This window comes from Homo sapiens, chromosome 5 (genome assembly GCF_000001405.40).
Source record: "Homo sapiens chromosome 5, GRCh38.p14 Primary Assembly".
Classification (NCBI taxonomy): Eukaryota; Metazoa; Chordata; class Mammalia; order Primates; family Hominidae; genus Homo; species Homo sapiens.
In genome coordinates, this window is record NC_000005.10 from 157,727,621 (window position 1) to 157,742,777 (window position 15,157).

At 42.1% G+C, this 15,157-nt stretch overlaps 1 protein-coding gene across 5 annotated transcripts, besides 3 other annotated features; it reads left to right on the forward strand.

Annotated features, from left to right (window-relative positions):
* Window positions 2,171-2,290: an enhancer, noted in NCBI's record as "active region_23529". NCBI's record gives its function as "activates an Ori minimal core promoter by ATAC-STARR-seq in GM12878 lymphoblastoid cells {active_cell/tissue: GM12878}" and the evidence as "EXISTENCE:reporter gene assay evidence [ECO:0000049][PMID:35858748]".
* Window positions 2,321-2,400: an enhancer, noted in NCBI's record as "active region_23530". NCBI's record gives its function as "activates an Ori minimal core promoter by ATAC-STARR-seq in GM12878 lymphoblastoid cells {active_cell/tissue: GM12878}" and the evidence as "EXISTENCE:reporter gene assay evidence [ECO:0000049][PMID:35858748]".
* Window positions 3,717-4,076: an enhancer, noted in NCBI's record as "active region_23531". NCBI's record gives its function as "activates an Ori minimal core promoter by ATAC-STARR-seq in GM12878 lymphoblastoid cells {active_cell/tissue: GM12878}" and the evidence as "EXISTENCE:reporter gene assay evidence [ECO:0000049][PMID:35858748]".
* THG1L (tRNA-histidine guanylyltransferase 1 like) lies at window positions 3,800-13,829 on the forward strand. 5 transcript variants are annotated; one of them, NM_001317826.2, is made up of 7 exons: window positions 4,179-4,389; window positions 4,982-4,995; window positions 5,248-5,424; window positions 6,956-7,125; window positions 8,226-8,314; window positions 10,267-10,374; window positions 11,701-13,829. In NM_001317826.2, the coding sequence occupies exons 2-7, from the start codon at window positions 4,991-4,993 to the stop codon at window positions 11,860-11,862; spliced, it is 711 nt and encodes a 236-aa protein (NP_001304755.1). In that variant the 5' UTR covers window positions 4,179-4,389; window positions 4,982-4,990; the 3' UTR covers window positions 11,863-13,829. The 5 variants fall into 5 exon arrangements, with proteins under 5 accessions (NP_060342.2, NP_001304754.1, NP_001304753.1 ...); NM_017872.5 differs by lacking the exons at window positions 4,179-4,389; window positions 4,982-4,995 and adding an exon at window positions 3,800-4,011; NM_001317825.2 differs by lacking the exons at window positions 4,179-4,389; window positions 4,982-4,995 and adding an exon at window positions 3,800-4,011 and having other exon boundaries at window positions 6,960-7,125.
* Window positions 13,830-15,157: the final 1,328 nt, after the last annotated feature.

A 15,157-nucleotide genomic window follows, 5' to 3' on the forward strand; every position in this document is an offset into this window, starting at 1 on the left:
TATGAATAAACTTTAGTCTTATACTTGGCCTGATTATTTGCCTAAAGTGCAGCAAGAATGGTTATTTTGACATAGGCCTTTTGGATTGGCTTTGATAAAACTCTGTTCCTCAAGGAATTTTAGGTAAGACTTTTGTTTGTTTGTTTTTTGAGATGGAGTCTTGCTCTGTCACCCAGGCTGGAATGCCATGGTGCAATCTCGGCTCACTATAACCTCCGCCTCCCGGGTTCAAGTGATTCTTCTGCCTCAGCCTCCCTGGTAGCTGGGGCTACAGTCGCCTGCCACCATGCCCAGCTACTTTTTGTATTTTTAGTAGAGATGGGGTTTCACCATATTGGCCAGGCTGGTCTTGAACTCCTGACCTCAAGTGATCCACCCACCTCAGCCTCCCAAAGTGCTGGAATTACAGGCATGAGCCACTGTGCCTGGCCTTCAGATAAGACTTTTAAAGCTGAGCCCAGCCATGGGTTTTTATCCTCTAATACCTGTGAGTTGGGTGATCCTCCCCTCTTGAGGTCCCAAGATAAACTCAGAGCTTCCAGACCTGTTAGAAAGTGACATTCTTTACTGACCACAGGTTAGGAACCCTGTGTGGGGACTGTGCAGACAAGGTATGAGGCCATTTCTCCCCAAGGGGCTTTTATTGGCTTTGCATGTCAAGCTTGATTCCTTAAAGGGAAACACACCCTTTCAGTCAAATCCCTGGTAAAATAACCAGTTTTTCCAACTGTGTCCTGTTTACAAAGAAAAATGGATTCTGATTGCACTGAGATGAACAACTATATTCCCATAAGTTAAGAGTACTCACAGATAATTTCCAAATTCTAGAGGAACCAGGCAGAGAAAAATAAACATGCTCCAAGTTTTCTTCACAGTATAACTTACTCAATTATTAAAGTCCATAAATAGTTTAAAATAACTTTCCTTGACTCTGAAAATCAAAACAAAGATCGACAATATTCCAAGCAAAGGTTAAAAAGGTTGCTTTAACTTTCTGAGTGTAGTCCACTTAGTAAACTTTTATTTTGCTTGACATTTGTCAATATGTCAGTTCTTTCTGAGTCCCTACATTCTTTATTTCAATGTTACAATCTTTAAAGCTATTAAAAACCTGCATTTGAGAACACCTGTTAAATTCCTTCACATAGCTTGATTATAAACCATCTTTTGAGAAGGAACAAAGCAAGACAACAATTGTCTGTGAATGAAAAATTTCCAGGATAGTTAAAAATATGACTGACGAAGTTTACTTATCTTCATGGTTTACAATAACTTTACCCTTAATTGATTGAGGGTAATATGATTGATAGCTATACTTAGACATTAGAATTTTAGAAATCCCATACAATTTTGGAACATATATTAGTATTATTCATCAAAATATAACTTAAAGAAGATTGGACATCATTTTGGCAATCTCTTATGACTAAACATGTCAAATGATCCTATTTATCTCTTTTCTGAATGTTTTGGGGCCCTCTGAACCAACCAAAAAGTCAGGTATCCGGAGGGACAATTTCCAGATTGCCATAAATTATTTTGCCAAAATGATGACTCAAAAGGCAAAAACCTTTCATTAGCCTTTACTATGACATGAAAATTTTGTTCAAAGCAAAATTTTACCCTTGCATTAATTTATTAATGTTAACCCCAATTCATTTACATGAAACCTTATAGATTATTCCATTTAATCCTAACCAATTTGACCATGAGGTGAAAACTTTACAAACCTTTTATAACCCTTTTACTAAAGGGCAGATTAGCATCTTAAGACCTCCTTGCTATGCTGTTATTTTAATGCTTAATTTATGTAAAGACCATATAGATGCTATGGGAGAAGACAGTGTAGTACTTCTACTATGCATTTCACTGCAAAGCAACCCAAAGCCAATTGGCTTATTTTATATTCAGCCCATCCCTGATAGGAGTCTCATCTCCCAGTGTGGGATGTGGATGGGGAAACCCTGTTTCTACAAAAAAAAATACAAATATTAGGTGGGCATGGTGGCACGCACCTGTAGTCCCAGCTACTAGGAAGGGAGGTGGGAGGTTCACCTGAACCCAAGAGGTCTAGGCTGCAGTGAGCTGAGATCATGCCATTGTACTCCAGCCTAGGTGACAGTGAGACTCTGTCTCGAAAACATACACATAAAAAAAATAAAAATCATGAATTCATATTGATAAGTAATTTTGAAAAATTCACCTAATGAAAGTAGGGCTCCTAGAGGAGGCAAGATTTGGTTGTCTCCTGGTCAGCTTGGAGAGAGGAGTTTGTGGAAGTAAAAGGTGAGGAATGATAACCTACAGAAAACTGACTTCACAGCAACAGAAACAAAGAAAAGATGCAGGATGTCATAATTTATGTCTTGGTCCTGCCACATATGTGACCTTATGTAAATTATTTTTTTCTCTTTGAGTCTCAGATTTCCCCTTTGTAAAGGTGAAATCCCAGTTCCTCTTTTGCATCCCTCTGATGTTACTCTGAGCATCAAAGGAGTGATGACTACCATTTGTGGTACTATTATGAGGATATACACACATACTGATATAGATCCCTGTATGGATACACAAAAAACTGGTAACAGTAACTGCCTAAAGTATGTTGTTAGGAGTCAGTGAGAGACTTTTTGCTACATATAAAAGGATTTATATTGTTTGAATATTTTTCTTTTTCTTTAGAGACAGATTCTTGCTCTGTCACCAAGGCTGGAGTGCAGTGGCTAATGATGGGTCACTGCAGTCTCGAACTCCTGGCCTCAAGTATCTTCCCACCTCATCCTCCCATAGCTAGGACTACGGGCATGGGCTACTAAGCCTGGATAATTTTTTTTCTTTTTTGTAGGAACAGGGGTCTTGCTACGTTGCCAAGGCTGGTATGAATCTCCTGAACTCAAGCAATCCTCCTGCCTCTGCCTCCCAAAGTGCTGGGATTACAGGCGTCAGCCACCGTGCCTGGCCTGAATATCTTTCTTGAGGATGGAAAAAAAAAAAAAGTAAGTAAGTAGGTAATGAATTTGAAAGAGCTTTGTAAATCACAAAGTATGACACAAATATTAGGATTTTATTTTTACTATTATCCACCAGCAACAAGATATCAAACACTGGTTCTGTGATTATTTAATGGTGAAAAAGTTGAATAAATCAATTTAGTATACCCATATGTTGGAATATTGAGTCCATTTTTCTTTTAAAAATCACACTTTGGAATAATTGATGATACTGGCAAATGCTCAAGCTGAGTGGAAAAATATATAAACATTGTATAGGCGAATAATTCCAATCTTGTGCATTCCCTGTGTAAACCTACATACACAAAAAGAAAAAAGACTGAAAGGAACCATCCACAATGCTTTGATGGGAAAGACGGAGAAACAAAGTGTTAATTTTCTTAACTATAGTTTTGGTGTATTCCAGATTTTCTACAAGTTAATAAATGCCACTAAGAAAAGGGGAAACATCACAGCTACACCTTCAAACACCAGAAAAAGAATTTTTTTTTTTTTTTTTTTTTTTAGGTTGGGGTATGATTTTGATCTGGGCACTAACGGGGACACTGATTGCTTTTGCCAGTAAGTCAAGACCAGCAGATAAAAAATAATTTTTAAAAACCTCGTGAGACTGATTTGCCGCAGGACGGGAGGAGGAAGAAGCAAGCGTGGAAGGTGCTAACGGAGGAACCTAAACCTCCATCCTCTTTGCCTGGGAGGTTAAGAACTACAGGGAGAGGCGAGAGAGACTATGACTGCCCTACGGCTAGAGTAGCCGCGAAGAGAACACTTCCGGGGCGGGGCTATCTGGCCCTTTCCTTTCCGCGTGTAGAATGTGGGGCGCCTGTAAAGTTAAGGTTCACGATTCCTTGGCCACCATTTCCATCACTCTGAGACGGTACCTGAGATTGGGGGCGACCATGGCAAAAAGCAAGTTCGAGTACGTGAGGGACTTCGAGGCTGACGACACCTGCCTGGCACACTGCTGGGTGGTAGTGCGGCTGGACGGCCGGAATTTCCATCGGTGAGCGAGCTCGACTCGGGGCGTCGCGATGCGCCAGCGCTTCCGGGGAATCCAGCTTCTTCCCTTGCAAGTCCTCCCGCCCGCTCCAGTCACGGTTACCAGGGTAACGCGGTAGCCAATGAGTGCGCAGCATGGAGCATTGCCCCGCCCTGCGTGTTGGCTAGGACAGTGCCTGAACGCTGGCTGTTAGCGTAATTGAATGGGCGATGTGCTCCCGTGATGAGGATCTGGCTTGGAGTGCCCGTGTTAAGTGAACAGAGACTTGTTAGCAAGGACCTGTTGTTAAAAGTCACTCTCATGCACAATATTTAAGCTCTTAAGCCAATTGCCTAGCTATTCTGTTAGATATCTTTGAATGCTGACTGTTCAGAAGTCTGTGTAAGCCTTGCTTGTGGGCAATACTTAACGTCTGTGCTTCATTATCAGTAACAGGCCACATGGACTAGATTCAACAGAGAGTCAGAAAAAAAGAGAAGGCTGGGCGCGGGAGGCAGGAGGATCACTTAAGGCCAGGAGTTGGAGACCAAGTTTTTGTTTTTGTTTTGTTTTTTCTGTGGTTGTTGTTTGTGAAACTCCGCCACTACAAAAAAAAAAAAAAAAAAAAAAAAAAAAAGAGAGAGAGAGAGAGAAAGAAGGAAGAGAGAAAGAAAGAAAAAGAAAAAATTTAATTTGCCCGGCGCAGTGGTGCACACATGTAGTTCCAGCTACTGGGAAGGCTGAGGTGGAAGGATCGCTTGAGCCTGGGAGGTCAAGGCTGCAGTGAGCGGTGATTGGACACTGCACTCCAGCTTGGGTGACAGAGCAAGACCCTGTCTCAGAAAAAGAGGGAGGGGGAGAAAGAAATATAACAGAAAGATGGGAATTTAATCTTTGAAGAGGGCTGCATTGTTAATGATTATTATAACTAACATTTATTGAGCACTTACTAGGAGCTAGGTATGATTACTTTTATCTTCTCCCTAATCTTCAGGACAACCCAATGAGGTAAATATTCTTTTATTCCCATTTCACAGAAAGGAGAGTTGAGGCTTAGCATTTCTGTCTGGCTTTCTCAATTTCAGGGCAGGAAAAAAACTAAGTTCTTAAGAAAATGGATCAGGTTGTGGCTAGTTGAGCATTTGAGTTCACAGTGCTATTACATTATCTTCCTCCAAACAGCCTCTGTTATCTAGCAACAGAGCGTGTTGTTAATGACAGGCTTCCATCCATGCTTTCTTCCCTTTTTCCCCTGTGAAGGTTTGCTGAGAAGCACAACTTTGCAAAACCCAATGACAGCCGTGCTCTCCAGCTGATGACCAAATGTGCGCAGACTGTGATGGAAGAACTAGAGGATATTGTGATCGCGTATGGACAGAGTGATGAGTACAGCTTTGTGTTCAAGCGGAAAACCAATTGGTTTAAAAGAAGAGCCAGGTAATTCCATGACCTAACTCCTTTCTTCAGAATATTTCCTCCCAGCATCTGGTTTTCTGTTTATCTTAATCGCAGACTTACAGGCTACAGATGATGTCTGCAGTATTTGTAACTGCAGAGTACATGTATATTTCCTGTTTAGATTGTTGTACTTCCATCTGATAGCCGAGCATTCTGTGTGCCTCTTTTATCTGATTCTTTCCCCACATGCCCCATAAGATTGGTTTCTAGACTGACCTGGCATTGAACATTAAGATTAGAAACAGAGACTATAAGAATGTAATATTAACAATTCATAGGTTGGCTTTAGCCAGTGATAGTCTCTACGTGCATTGCATTACACTGTTCCTCAAGACAGATCTCATTATAAAATACACAAATCTGATATTTGATTTGGCAGTATTTTGAAACGCTGTATGGGAAACAAATCATATAATGAATTGGTTTTTTCTTTCTTTCTTTTTTTAATAGAGGTGGGGTCTCTCTGTGTTGCCCAGGCTGGTCTCAAACTCCTGGCCTCAAGCAGTTCTCCTGTCTTGGCCTCTCGAAGTGCTAGGATTACAGACATGAGCCACCACGCCCAGCCTGAATTGGCATTTTTTTTACAACAATGGTTTCTCTCCTTTCATGACTGTAAACACAAACAGATCAGGCGTGGTGGCTCACGCCTGTAATCCCAACACTTTGAGAGGGTAAGGGAGAGGATTACTTGAGCCCAGAGGTTTGAGACCAGCCTGGGCAAGATGGTGAGACCTCATCTCTACAAAAAATTTAAAAATTAGCCGGGCTCAGTGGCATGTGCCTATAGTCACAGCTACTAAGGAGGTTGAGGCAGGAGGATCCATTGAGCCAAGGAATTTGAGGCAGCAGTGAGCTATGATTGTGCCAATCCACCCCAGCCTGAGGGACAGAGAGATTCCATCTTTTAAAAAATAAAATAAAATTTAAAAATACCCCTTGAATCATAAATTCGTATCACATCCTGTAGGGAAAGGTTTAGTATCAGTAGGTTACTTAATAGAACTGGAAGGAGAGGCAGGCTGCATTTAAAATACATAACTGGCCAGGTGTGATGACTCACGCCTGTAATCCCAGCACTTTGGGAGGCTGAGGCAGGCAGATGACTTGAGGTCAGAAGTTTGAGACTAGCCTGGCCAACATGGTGAAACCCCATCTCTACTGAAAATACAAAAATTAGCTGGGCGTAGTGGCCTGCACCTGTAATCCCAGCTACTCGGGAGTCTGAGGCAGGAGAATCACTTGAACCCAGGAGGCAGAAGTTGCAGTGAGCCAAGATGGTGCCATTGCACTCCAGCCCAGGCAACAGAGCAAGACTCTGTCCTAAAAAAAGAAAAAAAAATACAGAACCAAGGTATTAAAATAGTGTTTCTTAGCCAAATGCATTTTATCTCCTGGCTTTCTGGGCAGTTTGTGTACTCTCTGTGGTACCCACAGGTCTTATCATGGTGTTGAACTAATTCCGTGTATTTTTCTTTTTCTTACTCCACCCAATGTGCGTTACATTTTCAAGTAAGTTCATGACTCACGTGGCCTCCCAGTTTGCCTCCAGCTATGTGTTTTATTGGCGGGATTACTTTGAGGACCAGCCCCTTCTGTATCCCCCAGGCTTTGACGGAAGAGTCGTGGTGTATCCCAGCAACCAGACTTTAAAGGACTACCTCAGCTGGCGACAAGCAGATTGTGAGTGGCACCAAATAAACACATGTAGTTAAACCACCAATTCCATGTCTTACAGGTGTTGATCTGATACAGGATTGGCTCACATATACTTTGTTTCAACATATACGTTGTACAGAATGCAGTATTTAAATATTTTTTCAATTAGTTAAAAGTATTTGAAAAATTAAATTTTACGTAAAAACTCCTTATCTCTATTTTTTTTTTTTTTTAAGACAGAGTTTCGCTCTTGTTGCCCAGGCTGGAATGCAGTGGTGTCATCTTGGCTCACTGCAACCTCCACCTCCTGGGTTCATGGGATTCTTCTGCCTCAGCCTCCCGAGTAGCTGGGATTACAGGCATGTGCCACCACGCCCGGCTGATTCTGTATTTTTTAGTAGAAATGGGGTTTCTCCATGTTGGTCAGGCTGGTCTTGAACTCCTGACCTCAGGTGATCCACCCGCCTTGGCCTCCCAAAGTGCTGGGATTATAGGCGTGAGCCACCACGCCCAGCCGCCTTATCTCTATTTTTTAAAAAAATCAGATGTGGCAATACTGGATCTGCATTCTTACTTAGTACTAGACAAAGCCTGTTCAGTGGCAGCTACCTTTACACACACACACACACACAAATGCCAGTGTGCCATAGTCTCTGCCATTCCCTGTTGTTCCTCTGGGGTCACCCACTGCTTTACACATTTATGTTCATGCTGGCCTCAGTGGGTATTTGAATTGTGACCCTTGCCTTATGTGACTGTGATGATGTTTGTGAGGCTTTTACTTGCTTGTTCTAGTTTGAATTTTCCAGAAGAACTGGAAAAGAGATTGAAATAATATAAATCAAATAACTTCTAAAGTATTCCTAGGATTAACACACAAGTTAACAGATTTGTATAATGTGTAACTGAAATGACCAAATAAAACTGTTGTTAGGGATGAAGTTTTTTCCCTACTGCTCCTTCCCTCCATGTTCCGTGTGTAGGACTTCGGTCAAGTCACTGAATGTCTCTGAGATCTCTTTACTATGAAAGAGGAGAGGGTCAGGGCTCTAGTATTCCTTGAAGAATGAATATTCAATAAAGATTTTATGTATATAAACATTACTATTTTGTTCTCCTCACAGGTCACATCAATAATCTTTATAATACAGTTTTCTGGGCACTTATACAACAATCTGGACTAACACCAGTACAAGCCCAAGGGAGATTACAGGTATAAAGATCTTACTACATTAATACTTAACTGGGGACAGTTCGCTGTAGGCTCTCCCATAACTTTTTTTTTGTTAAATTTACATTTCTTTCTTTTAAGATCCCTGTACAGCTTTGTTTTGAAAGGATATAAAAATCATAATAGGAGCAGCTCTGCTGCCTGCTTGGTCTGTAATCCTGGATGAATTACTGCTTCTCCCTGAGCCTTTGTGTTCTTAGTGGAAAATGGAATTGACGGCACTGGCTCTGCATTCCCACGTGCTAACACTTGCCTGAAGCCGTGTATGACTGTGTATGACTGCCGTCTTCAGCACTGACTTTTTTTTTTTTTTTTGAGACACAGTTTCACTCTGTTGCCCAGGCTGCAGTACAGTGGTGTGATCTCAGCTGATTGCAACCTCCACCTCCTGTGCTCAAGCGATTCTCGTGCCTCAGCCTCCCAAGTAGCTGGGATTACAGGTGCATGCCACCACACCCAGCTAATTTTTGTATTTTTAGTAGAGACAGGGTTTCACCCCGTTGGCCAGGCTGGTCTTGAACTCCTGACCTGAAGTGATCTGCCTGCCTGGGCCTCCCAGAGTGCTGGGATTACAGGCGTGAGCCAGTGAGCCACCACACCTGGCCAGCACTGAATTTTTGTCAGTCCCACCACGCCTCTTCCCTCATTGCCATTTTCCCTGCTGGGCACCTGTAGTTTCTTGGGTTTATGACCTCTGTGTATAGGAAGAGTTCGTGCTGAGTTTGTTACTTTCATAAATGTCATAATAACTACTCACATCATGCTTCTGTGTAATTTTATCCTTTCTGCCTCAGTTCTTTATAGGTAAAATGTAGAAAATAGTAGTTTCTACCTCATAGGTTTATGGTGAGAATTAAATGGCATGATGCACGTAAAACACAGAATCGTATGAAGCACATTGTAAGTGCTTAATAAATACTGGTTTTTGTTATAACAGTGCTACTTGTAGGATGACTAACTGTGAAGTGAGGTAATGTGTTGTAACAGATCTTTTATTTGTATTTTATTTTATCTATTTATTTATTTTTTGAGATGGGTTCTTGCTATTTTCCCCAGGCTGGTCTTGAACTCCTGGGCTCCAGCAGTCCGCCCACCTCAGCCTCCCAAGTAGCTGGGATTACAGGTGCATGCCACTGTGCCCAGCTGTAACAGTTACTAATACAATGCCTGGTACATTATGTTTGCTCAATAAATGGTTGTCATTTTTAATAATAGTAATGATAGAGATTTTTATATAGCAATAATAGGAAAACTGGGGCCTGGTGTGGTGGTTCACGCATGTAATCCCAGCACTCTGAGGAGGCCAAGGTAGGTGGATCACCTGACGTCAGGAGTTCAAGACCAGCCTGGCCAACATGGTGAGACCGCTTCTCTACAAAAATTAGCTGGGTGTGCTGGCACACACCTGTAATCCCAGCGACTCAGGAGGCTGAGGCATGAGAATCGCTTGAACCTGGGAGGTGGCAGTTGCAGTGAGCTGAGATTGCACCACTGCACTCCAACCTGGGCAACAGAGTGAGACTTTGTCTAAAAAAAAAAAAGGCATACTGGTAGGTATATCCAGGTTTGGAAGAGTCAAGTTCAGATTTCAATTCTTCGTAGAAGAATAAGGACAACCTTTTAACCTTGGGGAATTTATATAACCTTTCTAAGTTTTACTGGACCAAATACATAATATGTATTCAGTTAGTATTAATTCTCCCCACTCCCTTTCAGTCTTGACTTGTGAAGCCAGTGTTTGGTATAGGAGAGAATTTTATCTAAGTAAGATCATAATTGCCCTTAAGATGAAAATTTACTAATAACTATAAGATGTTTGATAAAATCCTTCCACTTCTTGATTGTGGAAATTTAGGTTGTGGGTCGAATGGATAGTAGCACTAGGGGAGAAAGAAGACATGCAGAGCTTTTAATATCTATTTTTATTTTCTCAGGGAACTCTTGCAGCAGACAAGAATGAGATTTTGTTTTCTGAATTCAACATCAACTATAATAATGAGCTGCCGATGTATAGGAAAGGGACTGTGTTGATATGGCAGAAGGTAATGCTGTTATGTTCAAAGAAAAATGGAAGTCAGGAAAAAAGATAGCCTGTGCCCATTCCAAGCTGTGCCCTCCCTGCTGCCTGTATGCTGATGTTACTCCAGTTGCTAATGCAAACCTTTCCAAGAGGAGAGGCCATAGATTCTTATTTTTAATGTGCATTTTGTCAGTAGTGGTCCGAAATCTCCCATACATAAGCAGAATTACAGAATTTTAGAATTAGTGCCTTTATTTTTCTGTGTTGTAAGCTGTCCCTGTATCCGATAAAATCCTTTAAAAAGGATACAGTACAGATATGAGGATTTGTGCATTAATAAAATACTTAAAAAATACTTTCACACTGGATAATACCATTAAATGGTCTCTCCATCCCATGACAACTGTAATATGAGGCACTAAGAGACAATGTATATGAGGGTTTGTTATTTTCGTAAATGTCATGAGATTCCCTTGACATTCATACTTAGCTTAATATTCTGTAATAAGTCTGTACATTTACCTATATCCTTAATTTTACCAATATTTTCTCTCTGTACCAGCTGTTAGGCATAATGATTTCTCTAAATTTATTTCCTTCCATGTAAAGTTTTTTTGTTTTTTTTTTTTCTGAAATGAATGTTTTCAAGTACCAAGGAGTACCTTGAGAGCTAGTCATTCCACTGGCAACTCCAGCTCTTTGAGTTGTTCAAAACATTTATTCTTTGGTACAGACTTGGATACTTCTTAATGCAGGTGGAAGGTAAGAAATACCTTTAATTCTATAGTTATTGCTAATGAGGAACATGGAATCCTTTCTTTGTTCCTAAGATTGCTTCAGAATAGTATAACCTTTTTTTTTTTTTTTTTTAAGACAGAGTCTTGCTCTGTTGCTCAGGCCGGAGTACAGTGGTGCCATCTCGGCTCACTGCAACCTCCCCGTCCTGGGTTCAAGGGATTTCCAGCTAATTTTTGTATTTTTGGTAGAAGCAAAGTTTCACCATGTTGGCCAGGCTGGTCTCGAACTCCTGACCTCAAGTGATCTGCATGTCTCAGCCTCCCAAAGTGCTGAGATTACAGGCGTGAGCCACCGCGCTCGGATAACATAACCTTTTTAAAACTATTTTTAATTATAAAGAACTTCATGCATACTGAGATTTTATATATATATGTATATATACACACATACATATATGCGCATATATATACACATATTTATATCTATATATATCTCAAATCTGGCAGTCGGAAGTATATGAAGATAAAAAGTGAGCTATCCCCACATCTTTCCTTTCTCTCCCAAACCCACTCCTGACTTAACAATGTCACTACTTTATTTTTACCTGTAGGTGGATGAAGTGATGACAAAAGAAATTAAGCTGCCAACAGAAATGGAAGGAAAAAAGATGGCAGTGACCCGGACCAGGACAAAGCCAGTGCCCTTGCACTGCGATATCATCGGGGATGCTTTCTGGAAGGAACATCCAGAGATTCTAGATGAAGACAGCTGACCCTTTTGCGCTTCAGTTCTGGTGTGCTTAACCATGCAAGCCCTCCCACCTCCCAGGGCTCCTTGCCTTAGGTGGCTGTAGCATCCCTACCACCCAGGACACTGGTGCGAATGACACAACTCAAGTTGGGAGGGGAACAGGGAAGGAAGGGATGGATGGGGGTGGTGTATCTTACTCTGTTTAAGCAGAACACCTTGTTTGCGGTGTTGGAACATGGTTCCTTTGGCAGAAGTGCTTTTTTTTTAATCGCAGTACTATTTTTATAAAGCAAGAACTATTCCATGCCTTGGAGAATGAATCATTTTTAGATTGTGACATAAATCTTGTAAAAACCTGTCAGTTATTTTCATCTATGAGAGAAGAGGAGCCCAAACTCTCGCCCACCTGTTCTTAACCAGAAAACCCACTGACTTTGAAAATCTCACCTCTGCCACCCATCTACTTGCATTCGTCTTTGGCAGACCTCAAGATAAATATGGGTTAATGCCTGCATGATGCCTCTGAATTCAGGAATTGCAGGGAAAACTCGGGGCTTTGTGCCAGTCTCTAAGTTGGCAACTTTGGCTGAACAAATGAGTAGTGGCTTCAGTGTCCTTGCGTACACATTCTGTGGATTGATTTAATGGAGTTGTCAGCATGATCATCATCTTCTAGCCAGGGGCATAGTTGCCAAGGCCATTTACCTCTTTCTAAGAAGAAACAGAATTATGTGTATATATGAGAGAAAGAAACAAGAATGCGTGAATGAGGATGAAGAAACATTTACCCCATGTACTCAAGACATTTCAGTTTTAAAAGTCACTTTCCTATTAGACTTCTTGAAAAACATTCTCACATAGCCTCTATGTAATCAGACAAATGACATTTGATTTCAAGAGCAGAGGGGTAAACATCCTCTGCTAATCGACAGGTAGCAGGTGTCAGAGGAGGCATAATATTAATAGCGCCACCTTCTGTTGGGTCAGTGGAGATGGGTGAGGAACAGCACAGAGCAGCAGGGATCATCACATGCAGCCAAACTTGGCCTCTGAAGGGGGAAGGTAGTGGGAATAGGTGGTGAGAGAACTCACATTTTTCTCTTGTCCTGGTTTTATATTTCGGAGGGAAAGGATTATTTGGCCCCATTAAGAATTAAGAGGCTGGGTGCGGTGGCTCACGTCTGTAATCCCAGCACCTTGGGAGGCCCAGGCAGGCAGATCACCTGAGGTCGGGAGTTCGAGACCAGCGTGACCAACGTGGAGAAACCCCCGTCTCTACTAAAAATACAAAAAATTAGCTGGGCATGGTGGTGCATGCCTGTGATTCCAGCTACTTGGGAGGTTGAGGCAGGAGAATCATTTGAACTCAGGAGGCGGAAGTTGCGGTGAGCCAAGATTGTGCCATTGCACTCCAGCCTGGGCAACGAGCGAAACTACATCTCAAAAAAAAAAAAAAAAGACATGGCTGGGCATGGTGGCTCACACCTGTAATCCCAGCACTTTGGGGGGCTGAGGCAGGTAGATCACTTCAGGCCAGGAGTCCAAGACCAGCACGTCCAACATGGCAAAACCCAGTCTGTACTAAAAATAGAAAAATTAGCTGGGCGTGGTGGCGTGTGCCTGCAATACCAGCTACTCAGAAGGCTGAAGCAGGATAATTGCTTGAACCTGGTAGGTGGAGGTTGCAGTGAGCTGAAATCATGCCACTGCACTCCAGCCTGGGTGACAGAGCAAAACTGCCTTAAAAAAAAAAATTAAGAGACAGCCCGTGTCCCAGTCCCTCGTCTTGCACTGCAGAATTTACATCTAAGAAGAAAATGTATTTTTGAAAGGGTGATGGCTGGCCTCATCCCTCACTAATTGACAACCCATCTGTCGATGCCATTTTTTCCCTTCCTGTTCTCACTCCACAGAAAGAGGAGATACGGTTCTTGTTTGGTAATTGCTAAAATCTCTTTGAGGAAAGAAATAAAGATGTCAACTCCTTTGGCCTGCTTTTTCATTTATTTTTCTTAGACAAATAGACTATATGAAATCTAACTTTTGTGTATATCTCTGGGTAGCCTAGGATACACATGCCCTCATCATAGCAGTGGTTCACAAACTTCTGGATGCAAAAAAAAAAATTACTTGGAATGCTTGTTTAAAATGCACATTTTTGGCTCCTCCCAGCCCCCAGAAAGGTTTGAAGCTCAACAATCTTTTTTTTTTTTTTTTTTTTTTTTGAGATGGAGTCTCGCTCTGTCAGCTCACTGCAACCTCTGCCTCTCAGGTTCAAGTGATTCTCCTGCCTTAGCCTCCTGAGTAGCTGGGACTACAGACACGCACCACCATGCCTGGCTTAATTTTTGTATTTTTAGTAGAGACGGGGGTTTTCACTACATTGGCCAGGCTGGTCTCGAACTGCTGACCTCGTGATCCGCCCGCTTCAGCCTCCCAAAGTGCTGGGATTACAGGTGTGAGCCATCACGCCCAGCCAGCAATCTGATTTTTAGCCCCAAAGGCTTCTGATATGTGTGGTTGTCAATATACAGCAGCTTCGGCAGCAAGGCCCTCGGTATACTGTGATAGGCTGGGTGGGAAGGAAGTAAGATAATGTAGCTGTTGATTGGCAATTTTAACTTAATGGTAAGTTGACAGCATTTTATATCAAAATACAAGTAGGCATTAGAGTACAAATTTTCAAGAAAACCACCCAGAGAAACGTGCTTTCTGTGGGTCTTAAATGACACTATAAAGGCTATCACTCAGTTTTGCCATATGATGTGGGGATGAGCGCTCATTTGTTGAATTGCCAGCAATTCTGCAGCTTTGAGTTTTTTATTCAGGCAGGGGGTTTTGAACAAAGTGATAAGCTGGGTTCAAAACCTGTGCCATAAAGAAACCTGTACTGCTACCAATTAGAAGCCACTGTTTGATGGTTTTTGTTTTTTTTTTTTTTTTGAGATGGAGTCTCCCTCTGTCACCCCAGCTGGAGTGCAGTGGCGCGATCTCAGCTCACTGCAACCTCCGCCCCTCCAGGTTTAAGCAATTCTCTGCCTCAGCCTCCAGCGTAGCTGGGATTACAGGCGCGTGCCACCACGCCCGGCTAATTTTTTGTATTTTTAGTAGAGACGGGGTTTCACCATCTTGGCCAGGCTGGTCTTGAACTCCTGACCTCGTGATCCACCCGCCTCGGCCTCCCAAAGTGCTGGGATTACAGGCGTGAGCCACCGCGCCCGGCCTGCTTGATGGTTTTGTCTTCGCTGTAGTATGCATTCATCCCAAGGTATATTTCAGAGTTGTATATTAATTTTCATCTTGCTCTCTAAGGTACT

Bases quoted from the DNA above. Each gene is read 5' to 3' on its own strand.
- THG1L (NM_017872.5), top strand. From the start codon at position 3,821: ATGTGGGGCGCCTGTAAAGTTAAGGTTCACGATTCCTTGGCCACCATT. The intron at 4,012-5,247 runs GTGAGCGAGCTC...TCCCCTGTGAAG, and splicing joins GACGGCCGGAATTTCCATCG to GTTTGCTGAGAAGCACAACT. The intron at 8,315-10,266 runs GTATAAAGATCT...TTATTTTCTCAG, and splicing joins AAGCCCAAGGGAGATTACAG to GGAACTCTTGCAGCAGACAA.